General features: G+C 38.3%; 1 protein-coding gene and 2 long non-coding RNA genes across 54 annotated transcripts in view, besides 3 other annotated features; 2 read left to right on the plus strand and 1 right to left on the minus strand.

The window, feature by feature from the left end:
- The window catches only part of NRXN3 (neurexin 3), a 1697919-nt gene that overhangs the window by 1014777 nt on the left and 666099 nt on the right, over nt 1-17043 (plus strand). The gene's annotated exons all lie outside the window — the stretch shown is intronic.
- Nucleotides 1583-14755, minus strand: LOC124903352 (uncharacterized). The gene is made up of 4 exons (XR_007064280.1): nt 14601-14755; nt 12279-13189; nt 7047-7100; nt 1583-1654 (listed from the first exon to the last, which is right to left on the minus strand). It is a non-coding gene; the product is annotated as an uncharacterized LOC124903352 (long non-coding RNA).
- Nucleotides 9208-9377: an enhancer, noted in NCBI's record as "experimental_37191 CRE fragment used in MPRA reporter constructs". NCBI's record gives its function as "activates a minimal promoter by MPRAs in K562 erythroleukemia cells, with activity observed for the introgressed 14:79660785 or rs12434839 variant allele {active_cell/tissue: K562}" and the evidence as "EXISTENCE:reporter gene assay evidence [ECO:0000049][PMID:34662402]".
- Nucleotide 9293: a transcriptional cis regulatory region, noted in NCBI's record as "Neanderthal adaptively introgressed variant 14:79660785 (GRCh37/hg19 assembly coordinates) or rs12434839 in the experimental_37191 CRE". NCBI's record gives its function as "modulates activity of the experimental_37191 enhancer by MPRAs in K562 erythroleukemia cells {active_cell/tissue: K562}" and the evidence as "EXISTENCE:reporter gene assay evidence [ECO:0000049][PMID:34662402]".
- Nucleotides 9939-10108: an enhancer, noted in NCBI's record as "experimental_37197 CRE fragment used in MPRA reporter constructs". NCBI's record gives its function as "activates a minimal promoter by MPRAs in K562 erythroleukemia cells, with activity observed for both the introgressed and non-introgressed 14:79661516 variant alleles {active_cell/tissue: K562}" and the evidence as "EXISTENCE:reporter gene assay evidence [ECO:0000049][PMID:34662402]".
- LOC105370586 (uncharacterized) lies at nt 14833-16483 on the plus strand. The gene is made up of 2 exons (NR_135159.1): nt 14833-14889; nt 15885-16483. It is a non-coding gene; the product is annotated as an uncharacterized LOC105370586 (long non-coding RNA).

The raw sequence follows: 17043 nt of genomic DNA on the forward strand, positions 1-17043 counted from the left end.
AATAAACTATTTTTTATTTCTAATAAGCTCGTGTCTTGAGCAGAAACACTAATACCCAGGAAATTTTCTGAGGACTGGCTCACTTAAAATGAAGGGAAGTCACTCCACGCTCTGAGTTGTCTTCTCTCATCTTCTTCATGTGAAATCCTGGACACTTGCAGATTCATGACAATTCAGAGATTATTAATCCAATTGCTTTTAATAAAGACTGTCCTGAAAGATACACATGGTGAAACATTCTAATTGTAAAAGATTCATAGAGCAAACAATTCTGTAACATCTATTTCCATATGATTTGAGCAATTTCACACTTGGGAATTTTTTTTTTTTTTTTTAGATGGAGTCTTGCACTGTTGCCCAGGCTGGAGTGCAGTGGCACAATCTTGGCTCACTGCAAGCTCCAGCTCCTGGGTTCACGCCATTCTCCTGCCTCAGCCTCCCGAGTAGCTGGGACTACAGGCGCCCGCCACCACGCCCGGCTAATTTTTTGTATTTTTAGTAGAGACAGGGTTTCACCATGTTAGCCAGGATGGTCTCGATCTCCTGACCTCGTGATCCGCCCACCTTGGCCTCCCAAAATGCTGGGATTACAGGCGTGAGCCACCACCGTACCCGGCCCATACTTGGGAATTTTTACTACAGCTGACTGAAATTTTTTATTTGAATCCTATTTTATATATGAGGATACTATTTCTTCTTTACAGCATTAAATTTTCTAGATTAAAAAATACTCATTTCCCCCCAAGATTTTATAAAATAATTTCTGGCACTTCTCTAGGTTTTCTAGCTGTATGCTATTTTGAGATGACTTGGAGTCAAACTGTCTGGGTTGAATCAAGGCTGTCCCCACCAGTTACTGTCTGTCTGACCTTGAGAAGTTATTTAACCTCTCAGTGTGGAGATGTTCATGGTACATATCTCATAGGGTTTCTGAGTGGATAAAATGTTCTGATACATGCAAAATAGTTAGAATAGTATTTGCCTGGCATACCTTAAGCACTCAGTAAATTATAGCCATTCTATTTTATTCCATTCCATGTTAATGGTTCAACATGAAATAGAATTGCATCCAAACAAATCGTGACGTCAAGGGTGTTACCTGAAAAAAAAAGGTGTTTCTTACTTAAATATATTAAGTAAATATAGGGTTGTGTACAAATTTTAAAATTTTGCTTTACTGTGGGACTTTTAGACCTTTTCATATATAAATATGTATTGTGTATATCCAACGTGGCTAACATGCCATGTCTCTCTCTTTTTTATGAATCACCCACTAACATCTCCAGTGAATCAAATTTGGAAACAATGGGCAGTCACAATAAGATACATGTCTGAAAACCCAAAGTTGATTTTTTCATGCTTTCAGTAATTACATTGAAGTTGTCCCAAAGGCAGAAGAAAGAAAAAGAAATCAAGTCTCCAAAATTTCTCTATCCTTTAGAAAGAAACTCCACCTTAATTTTTGGTGAGGAGTAACAGATCTCACTTGGGTGGTAGTTACATTTTGTGATGTGAGGGTGTCAGCTTTTTCTCCAAGGATGACCTCCCAAGAAGGGCAGGGTCACTCACTTCTGCTACACTTCCCAGCTGTCTCTTTTGGCTTTGCACATTCCTGTCTCATGACTCTACAGGGAAATCCATGATGTAGATTTTCCTGTATTCAAGCAGGCAAAGATACGGGTCAAACATTTAAGGCCGTTAACAAGAAGTTAAATCAGCAACAACATTTATATAGAGGCATTAATTCAGGGTGAACGCAAAATGTGTTGCAGCATCGATTCTGGCATTTTTCTCTGCTCCTAATAGCTCTGAGCATTTGATCTATATGTTATATGGACCTAAATGAAGGGAAATAAACATCTGGACAGATTCCTTCCAATCGAGTTTCCTTCTTACCATTTTTCTGCTGTGATAGTTAACCAAGGCCATGGGCTTCGTTCACCTAGAACCAGCCTAAAATTAAGGATGCTGGCCAGAGTACCCAAGTGTGATGCTTGTAGCATTTAAGCATACAGATAAATTCTTTTTGAAAAATTTCAAACAAGTGTACCATGAGCGGAGTCAGAGCCCCTCTTGAAAGCAGGTTGGTAAATTTCCAGAACCACTTAGCAGTTTTCATAGGTGGCAAGGCATTGTATTGTTATTTTTATTATTGTTAGGAGCTAACATTTGTTTCCAGGAACTGGGCTAAATGGTTCAAATTCATTATCTCATTTAATCTTTACAATATTTCTGTGAGGTAGAAAGTATTGTTATCTCCATTTTAGAGATAGCAGTTATAGAAGAGGCATCTGGAGCTAAAACAGATTAAATGACCTTTTCCCTCAGGTTCAGAGTAAGTGTCATATTGCACCCCAGAATAATTCTGTGCTCACCATAATGATTTACCCTTCTAAAAGGTAATATAATGCAATTTCAGAAATTAATGATTCTTAAAAATGTGTAAGCATGCAGTGAGCCGAGATTGCGCCACTGCACTCCAGCCTGGGCGACAGAGCGAGACTCCGTCTCAAAAAAAAAAAAAAAAAAAAAAAAAAATGTGTAAGCATAAGAAAAAATAGCGAATGTCCTTTTCTAGCATCACACTAGATTTTACGGGTGATTACAGGAAGACCCTTTTGAGATTTTCAGCAATGGACTTTTCTTGGATGAGACGGAAGATGCTCTCAGCTGGTGTGACTAAATTGTTTGCGACTTGAGGACATGGGTCATGCCCTCTGTGTGTACCACTCACTATATCCTCATCACAGTTCCTGCATAAAGCAGAGATTCAGAAGGGTCAGTCGAGAACATGGATGACAACCCAACACTGTAACCCAGCAGCTTGTGTCTTGGTGTAACATTGGTAGGTTTTGTTTGCCTTTACATTTTTACCATAAGAGGTCAACTAGAGTTTCTATCTTGTTACAAGTTCATTACACAGGTATCCCTTATTCCTTCATTCAACATTGCAAAGAAAACATCTGTAACATGCTTTGAGTCATTAAGAGACATTGCATACAGTCAAAAAATAGCATGAATTTATTAAATTCAGTACTTTGGCTGATAAATTGAGAGGAAACCTTTATTGCAATTTGGTGGTGATAGTGGAGAGTCTCTTTCCAAATATAAGACCTAGCATTAAGAAGTATTTCCAAGTCTCCTATTTTAGGAATCTCAAATCTCTAAATTCGAGATATGTGGAAAAAATAGGCAATTTTCAAGAAAATTTGTGTTGCTGCTAGCCCTTTGGCTTGTACAATACATATTTTTTTTTTTAGAATATACTGGAAAGATGAAATCTCTAATAGGTATCTTTCTGGAGAACAGTCTTTATAGCAAGGTTTTCTTTACACAGAGCAACCATGCACATGTAGTTAATGGATCTCCAGACAAAGGCCATTTCTTCCCTAAAACAAAGCCAACAAGGCAATTGAGCCAAGTAACTTCAAACTCCCCAGAGGGGACAGCAGCCATTCTTAAATCCACCATACTTTTGAATAGCTATCATTGGTCATTATCTTCCAAATGGCTTTGTAAGTGTCTAGGCATAATGTGATTGCTTTGGAAATTCTCCATTTTTCAGGGTGCTGGGAAGGACATGAACAGACACTTCTCAAAAGAAGACATTTATGCAGCCAAAAAACACATGAAAAAGTGCTCACCATCACTGGCCATCAGAGAAATGCAAATCAAAACCACAATGAGATACCATCTCACACCAGTTAGAATGGCAATCATTAAAAAGTCAGGAAACAACAGGTGATGGAGAGGATGTGGAGAAATAGGAACACTTTTACACTGTCGGTGGGACTGTAAACTAGTTCAACCCTTGTGGAAGTCAGTGTGGCGATTCTTCAGGGATCTAGAACTAGAAATACCATTTGACCCAGCCATCCCATTACTGGGTATATACCCAAAGGACTATAAATCACGCTGCTATAAAGACACACGCACACATATGTTTATTGCGGCACTATTCACAATAGCAAAGACTTGGAACCAACCCAAATGTCCAACAATGATAGACTGGATTAAGAAAATGTGGCACATATACACCATGGAATACTATGCAGCCATAAAAAATGATGAGTTCACGTCCTTTGTAGGGACATGGATGAAACTGGAAATCATCATTCTCAGTAAACTATCACAAGAACAAAAAACCAAACACCATGTATTCTCACTCATAGGTGGTAATTGAACAATGAGAACACATGAACACAGGAAGGGGAACATCACACTCTGGGGACTGTTGTGGGGTGGGGGGAGGGGGGAGGGATAGCTTTAGGAGATATACCTAATGCTAAATGGCGAGTTAATGGGTGCAGCACACCAGCATGGCACATGGTTACATGTGTAACTAACCTGCACATTGTGCACATGTACCCTAGAACTTGAAGTATAATTTAAAAAAAAAAAAGTCCCTTTCTTCTTTATCTCTTCCTCCCTGCCCCTTTCACTGTTCTGCCCAACACAAAGTTCAAGTCGTCTAGAGACGAATATGGCTTTTGCTTTTGTAGGGACTTTTTCCTGAGTCCCTTCCTAGCAGGGTACATGCAATATAGGCCTGTGAGAATAACTTTCTGCGGTGACACAGAACAGTGAAAACTGTAAGTCAGTCTATGGTGAGTGCAATCCTACATTATTTCATGCATAAAAAAGTCATACATCTGTATACATATATAACCTATTTCACAGTAACAATAAAAACATATTTATCGATTCATCAGAGGATAGACAGATTTGTGTGTCTATCCAAATGTATTACACTGTGATTTTTTTCTTCCTTGAGAAAGATTTCCCTGAAGACAATATTTATGGCAGGGCAGGAATTTATATTACACTTGAATATATGTTCTGACAAAGAAGCACATTGCATTTTGGAATTGGGTGATATTGGACATTCTTCAAAAAATCTTCTAAAGGGAAAGAATGTTTCATCTACTCATTTGTTCAGATTTCCCTATAATTTTTAGCCAGCAGTCCTTTATGGATCAGATATTGCATCAAAAAAGAAGGGGAAAATATTCTTGTCATGGAGACATTTTCAGATTAAGTTGAAAAGGTCCATAATCCTTACGGAAATTTTTTTTTTAATCATCATCAGGCTATTCTTGACAGTCAGTAAAATATCAGGTCTTTCTCATTTAACTGACAGATTTCTTCTTTTTGCTTTCTTTCTTCCCTCTCTGTATCTATATCTACTCTCTTTCCAGGGCTCACGGCATATAGTAAGTATTGAAAAAATGAATTTAAGTCTAACTTATACATACTTGTGAAACCTCATTCCTTATGATAAAGACCTTAAGCTTTTCTAAATGCAGAATCAGCCACTGGTCATTTTTAATGGACACGTAGTGGTTGCTATTTTCTGGAGTGCAGGATTCATTAGGGTCATTGCTGGCATTTGGCTATGTTCAGTTGCCCCGGTGTGCTACTGAAGGCAAGTGTCCAAACGCCAATAATGTTTGGTTTCTCTCGATATTCCGAGGTTATATATCAAAAGAAGCCGTGTGTATGGCTTCCAGTTACCCATCCAGAGAATTCCTGAAAAAAGCAAATTATTCTTAAGATCCCCTGGAATTATGAATCTCTTGGTGGAGATGCATGGTAGGGAAAAGGGAAACTTGATCTGGTTTATTCTGAACCCTTTCTTCTCATCTTATCCTTCTACTAAGTCACTTGAAAACTGTTAAGAAGGAGAACATATAGGCATTATGAAAGAAACTATGTTGTAGCAGAATTCTTCAAGGTCTCAGGATTTACCCTTATAAAAACTGTACATAATCTAAAGCATAATAGCCAAAACAATTCAGTATGAATCAGACGTACACATACATAATTGTCTCATTGAGTTTCCCATCTCCACTAAGTCATGGTCACTGTTTTGCCTTGGTTATGGTAACTAAAAGCCAATGGAGATTAACGGAAAGCCCCCCAGGAGAAAATACTCTTTTGCGGTCTTTGGATGAAGGCCTGAGTATCAGCAGGACTGGAGTTCTAAAGAAACTGCTATGCCCATTGCATGAGACACATGAAGTAATGAACTATAGACAAGTCATCATACCAGTATTTCAGAAAGTGAAACTGATATAAGAACACAGGCCAGACACCAACTCAAACAAACTATGGAAGCAGGGAGAGCAAACTGAAATACAAAGGCATGGCCAGTAGCCAGAGCAGGAGTGCCTCAGAAATTGATGATAGATGAAGACAATTTATGTAGCAGTTCGTCTAATGGCAGTTCTGCAGGGAGGCATCCTTTTGAAGGTGATGGCTCAGGTTGGCCTACATGTTCCTGCCCAATTTTAAAGGTGTCATAAGCCAGTGTAATTGGGGATCTGTCTGGCTTCTGACTTCTTGCATAACTATGTTCCCACTTACATTGGGGTCTTGGCATAATTTGTCTCCTGACAAAGAGAAAATAGAAAATATCCAAATATTCCAGCCTTATAGCATAGATGGGTAAATATAAGACCTTTCCTTTTAGCATTGATGACAGTAAACACAATTAATAGCTTTCTATTTGCCAGGCATGTGACATACGACTCTGAAATCTTGCAACAACCCAGTTAGAACGACTTACTAAGACTTGAAGTTAAGTTTGCCTAAATGTATACAGCAGGTGATTAAAATATGGATTTAACTGCTGATTTGTTCATATTTAAGATCCTTGACCTTTCCACTGTTATAATAGTACATATTGATATTCCACTGGCGATGAGTAAGCATGCCTTACCACTTCACAAATAGATAAGGTGGCTTCTAAGAAAATCTCAAATAGAGGTGGTCAGGAAGCCACAGGACCAACCAAGAACCCAGAAACGACAGTGCTTACTAGATGCTGCTTGCATTCTACCATGTGGATACAATGAGTAAAACTTGGGTACTAAAGTCAAAGTGCCTGCCACCACACCTGGCTAATATTTGTATTTTTAGCAGAGATGGGGTTTCACCATATTGGCCAGGCTGGCCTGGAACTCCTGACCTTGTGATCTGCCCACCTCGGCCTCCCAAAGTGCTGGGATTACAGATCCCAACTGGATTGGGATCTTAGCACTTACTTGCTGTATAACTTCTCCAGGTTACTGATCATCTCTAAGTCTTTGATTCTTGTTCTGTAAAATATGATAATAGTAGGAATAATAATAGTGCCTTCTTTAGAGATAGTTGTCAAGATTAAAGTGCTTAGCTCAGTGCTTGACATAGGGTAAATATTCAACCTATAGTCAATCATCTTAAGTACTCTTGTCTCACCGAGGAACCATCAGGAGGTGTAGGTAATATGCAACCTTGAATTAGATGTAATAAAATGGACCCCACAGGAAGTATTTGGGGATATTTTAGGCATATTTTCCAGTACACATATGCAATATTAGATAATATTTTCCAAACCAATGCTATTTAACCTCAAATCCAGCACAGTGAAAAAACATTGAAAGGTAAAAGAAAAAGTCACTTCACTTCCATAGTTCTCAGAATTACCATGTAGATATCAAAAGGTCTCTTCCAACTCTGAAAGTCTGTGACTAATTTTGTTAAACCCCTACTGTGTGCAAAGTTTGTCACTGGGACGAATAAGGTTGACACTCTCAGAGAAGCAATATGTAAAAAGACATGTACAATTCTCTTAATTTTTTTTTTTTTTTTTTTTTTTGAGACAGAGTCTCGCTCTGTCACCCAAGCTGGAGTGCAGTGGCATGATCTCAGCTCACTGCAAACTCCACCTCCCGGGTTCAAGAGATTCTCCTGCCCCAGCCTCCTGAGTAGCTGGGAGTACAGGCACCTGCCACCACACCTGGCTAGTATTTGTATTTTTAGTAGAGACAGGGTTTCACCATATTGGCCAGGCTGGTCTCAAACTCCTGACCTTGTAATCTGCCTGCCTCGGCCTCCCAAAGTGCTGGGATTACAGGCGTGAGCCACCACGCCTGGCTATGTACAATTCTTAAAATAAGCTAAAGTGATAAACTTACCCTATGGCTTTGTCATAGAAGGGTTTTAAAGACAAAAAAAAAAATTGAAAAAAATTGAACTTCTGAGAAGAATGGTGATATTATAGATATGCTATAGCCTCTAAATAAGAATAGTGATGTTTAAAGGAATATAAATTAAAGAGAACACTAAAGGGAAAAGAGAGATGGATTTTACCCTCTGGATCTGACTTTGGTTTTAAATTGCATAGGCAAGAGATTGGTTAGAGAGATTTATTTCAACCTTTAGTAGTGTATTAGCAGTGTCACAGAACAAGGGATATGGTTAAAAGAAAGAAGGTGAGAAATGCGAACAAACAAGATAGTGTCTTGGAATCTGATTTATTTAAATTTAGATTATATTGCTGTTGCATTAATCTTTGTATAAATCATAGTTCTAAGCACATTAAACTTACGTTGCAGTCAATTTTTAATTTTGCAAACCTTAACCGATGTTTATTATTATAAGCTGTGAACATTTTTTTAATCATTGAGAAGGCCCCTCTCAAGTGAAATTTTGGTTCCAAATGGCCAAAGTAACTAATGGGCAGGGAAAAAAATCTGCTTAAACTCTCATTTCAATCACAGTTATGTGGAAACATCTTGAAGACAACAGTAAAGGAAAGAGAAAGAAATCAGGTGGATGGAGAAGATACACTAGAGGAATGAGATCTCCTACATGAGTAAAGTGTTTTCTAATGTGTTTTTCTTGAATGATAGCATCTTGAATTTCCTACAAAGTATGGAATAGTTTACCTCTGACTAGCGCTGCCCTACAGAACAATGTCAATTTATTCTAAGACTGCAATGTTCAGAATGCAGATATGATCAGTTCAACCCAGATGAGACAATCCTATAAATGTAATAATAGAAATAACTATTTGAAACTTGAAAATCAGAAGTGTTTTAACTTTCTTCAAACACTTAGACTATAACAACATTTTTAGTCTAATGTAATTAGCGCAATTTTCAGAGGATATGTTTATATCAAGAATATTCCTGTGGGAGAAATAGAAACTTTTAAGGAGAGGTTTCTAGGATTCTTAGACAACTAAAACTTTCGTTTGACTCAGACCCTGATATTACATTTTCCCAGGATTCCTCTCACTTGTGCTGTTTTCAGTGATTGCTCAGGTTATTTCGAATGATGGCATACATATATCTTCTCTGACATGCAAAAATGCCAGAACCTTCTTTTTCCTCCCTCTGTTCCCAGAAAGAACTAAGAACGGTCTAGCTTTGAGCTAAATTGTACAGCTGACTGTTTGTTTTGGGAACTTCCAAATGAACATATTTGGTGTTGCACTGGTGCATCCCAGGAACAGAACTGTCTGACCAGAAGAGCAATTCTGCTTCTGGAAATTTCTAGCACATAAGAAGATAGCTGGAGGGTATGTTTGTCTGTATAGTTTAGAGGCTGGCTGGTGCTATAAAGGAAAGTAAGAAAAAGGCAAAGATATCCTTCAGAGGATTCCCCCAGAAGAAAGTAGCAGTTATGAAGTTTTATTCCTGAGGTAGGACAGGCAGTCAGACCCAAGAGGTCTCAGTGTCTCTCCCTGTGTTGGATGTAATTGCTTTTCATTGTCAATACTGAAAGAAGGCACACAAGAGACAAATGAAATGTGTGTGTATAAACCTGGCTTTGGTTTTCAGAGACAGTCTTCTTACACCTTCAGATCTCCTAGATGAGCTGGGCCTTACAGAAAATACAAGTCTTGAGCTCTATTTGTTTACAGTTTTCAAATTCTCAGCTTCTGCCTGTAAGATATCTCATGTGATTAACTGATTTTTCTAATTTAAGGGAGTTATTTTCTGTGGAGGAAGAGGCTATAAAGTCACATTTTTATCTTATTTTCTTTTTTTTTTCTCTGATATTTCTTCTCTGTTTTCCACATTCCTTGTCACTGTCAAAACTGGTAATTAATCAAGAGTTAGTCATGGATGGCTCCTTTTCCCTCCCCTTCTTATCCTTCATTTTCCTGCCTGAGTGATAACGAATGATGTCTCTTGTCCTGTACCCCTGGCTTCCTCTCCTCAGAGCATTCAAGCCAGACCCCATGACAAGATGCTCCCAGTGAAGGGAGAAAACTGGGAATGACAAATGTGAGTCTGGGAACCCAGGCATCAAGGGGTGGACTTCCTGATCTCTACCACTTGCCATCATCTATCTCTCCATGTCAGGAGGCCTTTGGGAAAAGCAGAAACAAAAGAGAAAGGAAAAGTTCTCATCCCAGCATTTTAGCATCATGAGAAACCTGGAAGTACCTTTGCAATAGCACTAAAATATGATGAGTCTTGAGTCTTTCCCAAGGTTTTGATACCCACCAGCCCACGAGTATACATGTAGGCATACTTTTACTCTCTACTTTCTCCAGCTTAATGTTTTTCCAAGTGTCTGGAGGAAAATAAGAGCAAACATCTTTGTAAAATTGGACACATCTCTTCTTTCATTATATGATTGGTTTATGTGTCTGAACACCTTAGGACTCAGTCTTTACTCTTATTTAACTGAAGAGATTAGGGGAAATACTTCCTCACCCACCACAGAGTCTGAAATTCTGCTATTAGAGACTCATGCCTTTAGGTGAAAATGTTGCATCTCCAAGAAGACCCATGAAAACAGAAGTGATTCTAGGTAGAATGAAGATACAATATAAGCTAATCGATGATATCCTCCTATAAATTCCTTTGGCAGATCTATTTACTATGGAGATCCCTAGTGGAGAGGATGGCCTTAAGGAATTGGGAAATAAAATAGTTAACTTGAGATAGGTTGAAAGAGAAAATAATTCCTGAGAAAGGAACACAATACTGCTTGAAAATAGTACTAATGTATTTTTACAGATTAGTTTTTGCTGGTTCCTGAACCAAATGACTAGCTGGGACTTCTTATTCTCAGATTTGCCTCACACCCACTTAAGAAAAATACCAGATTGACATCCTCAAGTTATAATCTAAAATCCCAGGGAGGGAGCACACTAGTCAGGGGTGAGATTAAATGAGGCAAAAGTGACTGCATCACATTTCACTGTCTATAGAGGCTATTGGCAGATTTATGCAGGCTGAGTTAAGTGAATGACTTGATAGCCTGGATCACATCTATATGTGTTTTTCACAGGCATCATGTCTTAGTTAGTTTTATGTTGCCATAACAGAATGCCCCAGACTGGGTAACTCAAAATGAACAGAAATTTATTTGGCTCACAGTTCTGGAGGCTGGGAAGTCTTAGTGCATGAAACTGACATCTGACATGGGCCTTTGTGCTACATGATCCCATGGTGAAAGTTATCACATGGCAAGAGAGCATGGGAGAGAGCCAAACTCAATTTTATAACCAACTCACTTCTGTAATAATGACACTGATCCATTCATGAGAACAGAGCCCTCATGACCTAATCACCTTTTAAAGGTCCCATTGTTCAACACTGTTGCATTGGGAATTAACTTTCCAACACATGCACTCTGGGGGACACATTCGAACCATACCAAACATCCACTCTGTAGAATGTTGCCCTTAATATGCTGTGATTGATATAGATAGATAGATATAGATATAGATTTTTTTTTCCTTTTCAGTGTGTTTTAGTATATTAGTTGGGTCTCATTTGCTTGCTTAAACTGTTGTATGAAAAAAAAGAAATGTGCTGCAAAGATACAGAGGTATATTGTGCAGCTCAAATTAGGTCAGGAATGTTATTAATTTAATTAGTTATCCATGCAATATGCTGCATAACAAACAACCACAATATCTCCAGCAGCACAGGACAATAAACACTTATTTCTTATGGAGCTGTGGGTTGCTTGAGGGTCAGCTATTGCAGCTTGAGACTGGCTAAATGGCTCCACTAATCTCAGCTGGGCTCACTCAAGGGTCTGGGGGTCAGTTGAGGTTCAGGTTATATAGGCTTTGCTCAGGTGGGCTAGGTCAGCTCTATTACACATCTCTTATCCTATTTCTGGGTCCAGCCTGCTAGCTTGGGCAAATTCTTTTCTGTTTCTACAGGTTAATTTTGGCTGGTTACTGGACCAAATGTCTCTGTGGAAATTCTCCTTCTCAGGTTTGCCTTATATCCACTTAAGAAAAATGCCAGATTGACATCCTCAAGTCCCAGTCTAAAAACTTGGGTAGGTGCATGGTAGTCAGGGGATGAGGTCAAATTAGGCAAATGTGACTTCATAGCCCTGCTGTAACCAGCTGGAAAATAAGAGAATGAACAGACAAAAATAGACTTGTACCACATTAATGACATACTGATTATTTGAATTAGTTAATTTTGCTAGGAGTAGAGATAATAAGAGTGTGGTTCTCAGTTGCTGCTTACCCCGAACAAGAGTCTTAGTAAATTGACCAGCTGAGTCATTTGAACTTGATTCTTGGTAGGAAGACTTTTGCGTGGCTTATCTACTGTTTTTTCTTCTCTTTTTCTTTTCTTACTGTATCTGTAATTTCTTTTTTTTTTTAATTCCATGATTTACTGGAAATCTCAAAGGATGTTTGAATGAACTCTAATTATCCGTTGTCTTTGTTGTCGCTGACTCCACTGTCAAAAACCCAAGCCAGGCATCCGCTTGGTTTGGTGACCTTAACCACAATTTGAAGGCTGCTGACTGATCAGGGCAGTGGTTGCGGAAGGTTGGGGTGGCAAACAACAAAGATGTTTCCCGCAAGGAATTTGAGTCTTCCTTTCATGAAAGACTTCTTTGTAGCATGCGATGCTATTTGATAGCATTTTACCCACTGTAGGACAGCTTTCAAAATTGTAGTCAATCCTCTCAAACCCTGCCATTGCTTTTTCAACTAAGTTTATGTAATATTCTAAATCATTTGTTGTGATTTCAACAATGTTCACAACATCTTCACCAGGAGTAGATTCCATCTGAAGAAACTACTCTTTGCTCATCTATAAGAAGCAGCTCCTCATCTGTTTAAGTTTTATTATGAGATTGCAGTAATTCAGTCCCAGTCCCATCTTCAGGTTCCACTTCTGATTCCACTCTGCCACACATTTCTCTGTGAGTCTGTTAAAATATGGATAATCCAAATAACTTCTTTCTAATGTGATTTATATGAAATGGAAGCATGTTCTCCTTCCCCCTTATGTGCTCTTGTTTTGAATTGCAAATATTCAGTTTTGCATATATTTAAAAGTTATTTTGACAGTATGTAATGTAGATTTAAAACATTCTGAAGTTGGCTGTTTTCCCTTGATCAATTCTTCTTTTAGAAGAAACACTGTAAATAAACCAACAAGTGTCAGAGCATACAGTATAGGGAACAGCCAAGGACAATCTGTTATGATATTCTGTGTATTAAAAACCAGTTTGTTTATACCACTAGGAGAATTTCATTTTTTAGTATTTGGATTTGATGGATTTAGTGAGAACGATATGATTTGCTTCATTAGACAGCTATGCCACAGCTGAACGATGTGCATTACTCTTAATGCTAAAGGGAGATAAATGTAATGATAGAAAAAGTTAAGGGAACCAAAGAGGCAATATTCCTAGAATAAGCAGATGAAAATTTAACTATGATGCACAGAAGTTAAATGTCAGTAATTCCATTCAACTAGGTCAGTGGAATTGGGGCAGGAACTTTCTTCATTGTAGCAGTGAAGCTGTTAGCTGGTTTACTTAGAAACCTTGAATCTGAGGAATCATCTCCAGAGAACACCTGATATAAGCTACAGTTTTCTTGACTCATATTCCAAAATGGGGATTGAACTGTGAGAAAGACTACAAGTAATTTCTGAGTTACTGAACTTAGAAAAAGCAAAACTGGCCAGGTGCGGTGGCTCACGCCTGTAATCCAGCACTTTGGGAGGCCGAGAAAGGCGGATCACGAAGTCAGGAGATGGAGACCATCCTGGCTAACATGGTGAAACCCTCTCTCTACTAAAAATACAAAAAAATTATCTGGGCTTGGTGACATGCGCCTGTAGTCCCAGCTACTCTAGAGACTGAGGCAGGAGAATCGCTTGAACCCTGGAGGCAGAGGTTGCGGTGAGCCAAGATGGCGCCACTGCGCTCCAGCCTGGGCGACAGTGAGACTGCGTCTAAAAAAAAAAAAAAGCAAAACCTTGGGACTTCTTTCTTTCCCTTCTTATTTTCACCTTTCCTTCTCTTCCTTCTTCTCTTTCTACTTCCCTTCTTGTCTCTCTATTTTTACCTTATTCATTTCCTCTCGTGCCTTTCCATTTTTTATATCAGGAATTAAATACCCTCTAGAGTGAAACGATGAATAAAATCTACTAGTCCTGTGAGAAGGACAAAATTAAATGTGTTGGGTTGTGTTTGTGATTGTGCTGATGACAGCAAAAGAAGCCACACTGAGGATTGAAGATGAGAAAAAACAAACTACAATGTTCACTAACGTAATTTTTAAGGGAGAAGATATAAAGATTACCAGAGTTCACACTTTCAAATTGTTTGCAATCAATTGAAAGTCGAAAAAAGTTATATGTTGAACAACATATGAGAAAAAAGCAAGTGACCATTTAAGGTGATATGTGTTAAGAGCAAATCAACTGATAGAGATAGAAATGTGGATGAGGAAGACCACCACTATTCCCTGGGGTAGTCAAAGGAAAGTTGGCCTGGTACTGGATTTTGGATAACACTGAATAAGATTCAAACAGACAAACCATGGTTGGGGCCCAGCTTGAGCAAAGGATCAGAAGCAGCAGTATTCCAGACATGTGAGAATATAAATTTGGTTCAAGTAGAAAGGTTTCAAATGGCAGATGACTGTGGAAAAATAATTTGGTGAAAACTTATAAAAGGCCCGGAATGCTGAGATAGAACCTTGGGTTCTATTCAGTATATATTTTGAGAACCACTGATGGTCACTATGGAGAAGAAAGACGTGTGCTATATAATAGAACAAGAATTGAGAGGTCATTGACTGGGGGAGTTTCCTAGACCCAGAGAAGGGTAAGAAGGGATACATTTTGAAGGCTGGTACATAAAGAGAATTAAGATATCAATGAGACATATTTTAAAAGCCAAGAGAAGGAGAGGAAAGTGGTCATTTTCAGTTCTGAAGGTGAGAGTTTTGAGGTTTGGATGACTATGAAATAACCCAGTGAGAATACCCATTTATCAGTGGGAAATCCTGAACTAGAGTTTGAGAGAGTCTGCTAAGCTAAAGTTGTGGATTTGCACGTTAGCCTCCTGAAGAGGATGGTTGAATTCATAAATATGGATGATACTCTACAGAAAAGAAGTTTGCTTAGAGGATTTGGCATATCCATGATGAGAGTATACCGGGGAAGCAAGGAAACACTGAAGAGAGAAGGGGTGGTCAGAAGAACTGTAGAAGTGGGGCAATATGTGGAATAGTGAGGGTCTCAGAACAGACAGAGGACCTGGGCCTTGAAGGCCAGCTGCGTCATCTGGAGATGAAGATGGAAGGAAATGGGGATCATTGAGGATGAAGAAGAAAAGGAGCCCTAAAGGTCTCTTACAGTCATCACTTTGTCCGTAGAAACACATCTCTGGGAAGGAATGAGTTAGGTTTTTCTTATTCTTTCTTCATTAATAAAAATAGAAAAACAGGTGGTGAAACAAATTGGAAAACAATGTACACACAACTAATACTCTTGAAGAAAGAGATTTCACACTGTGTCCTGCTAACCTGTTCTGATATTCAATGGCACTTGTTACCCAGGAGTTCTTTTTTAAATCACTATCTGAAATCCCTATTGCTCTCCTGTGAGCTGTATTTTTTTTTTTTTTTTTTTTTTTTTTTTGGCTTTCCTCTGTTTATCCTCAGGGGACAGAAAGAACATATGGCAACTATCTCTCAAGTAATAATCCTTCAATTTTGGAAATACGTATTATATAAGATTTTTCCTCTCTAGCCTTTTATTCTTTGAGCTAAATAATACTAAGAAATTTAGGCTTTCTTTATGGTCATTTCTTCCCAGGACAATGGCACAGACTGAGTCAAATTCAGTTCCTAGGACTTGGATAAAATTTATATTGAAGCCACTGCTTTGAATCAGCGAGCAGTACTGATGTCAAGTTTGCCTATTAGGTAGAAATTCAAGAATGAAATGATGATGACCCTTTTGGGAACAACTCTGTGCATCCTTTGTATCCTGAGAGCACTTATCAAAACTAATAGATGAGTAATAAATCTTTCAAAACAAAGAAAACCGATGGACAAAGTGGTGAAAATATAGCATTTGTCTCTTATTGCCAATGCGTGGCACATACCAACTCAATTCATATTTGCATGAATTTATGAAAGCAAGGATGAAAAAATATGTACTAAGATATAAAATTAGCAATATTATTTTTAAAAGGTTGTTAAAAGTCAAGGCCTTTTGGGCCAGGCTGTTGGGCTGTTTCTTAAGGATATGATATTTTATTTATTTTAACATATTCAGAAACACCTAGTGGTATTAAAACCTCTGAGATTGGCAGCATTTGGCCTTTTAGAGAATGTTGACTCTACTTTCTTTCTCTAGAATTTATTCTATCATTTTTTATGACAGTCTTAATAAAGATGATTGAAAGACTCTGGGTATTAATTCATCAACCAGTATTTGTTGCAGGCCAACTAAGAGTTTGGCACTGTGTTCCAAGGGGAAGTTAAGTAAGCACAAAAATCACAAACTATTAAAGTTGATAAAGCTGCTGATTTAAGCCAAAATAGTAATTCTCTTGACAACATAAGAGTGAATGTTTACATAGCATTGACCTTTTGCCAGGCACTGTTCAAGCACTTTCTACGTCACTACATATTTCTTTTAATTTTTACAACAACTCATTAAACAGGTACTATTACTATCCTTATTGTACAGGCGAGGAAGCACGTGAGAATTGGCTAAAGCCATATAGTTAGTAAGCCATAGAGTTAGGATTTAAACTTGGGTCCAAATCCTGTATGCTTAACCATTACTGCACCAGAGAGGTCCTCCAGGCTTCCCTTGAGTAATCTGAGGAATGAGGTGTGTGTTATCTTTTTTTTTTTTTTCCTCAATCAATTGAGGTTTTATTGAGCTAGAGCTTGAGGGTGTGCCCAAGATAAACAAGAGTCACAGAAATCCTCTGTGGCTTATGTTCTCCCTGAAGAGGTTT

Source organism: Homo sapiens, chromosome 14 (genome assembly GCF_000001405.40).
Source record: "Homo sapiens chromosome 14, GRCh38.p14 Primary Assembly".
Classification (NCBI taxonomy): Eukaryota; Metazoa; Chordata; class Mammalia; order Primates; family Hominidae; genus Homo; species Homo sapiens.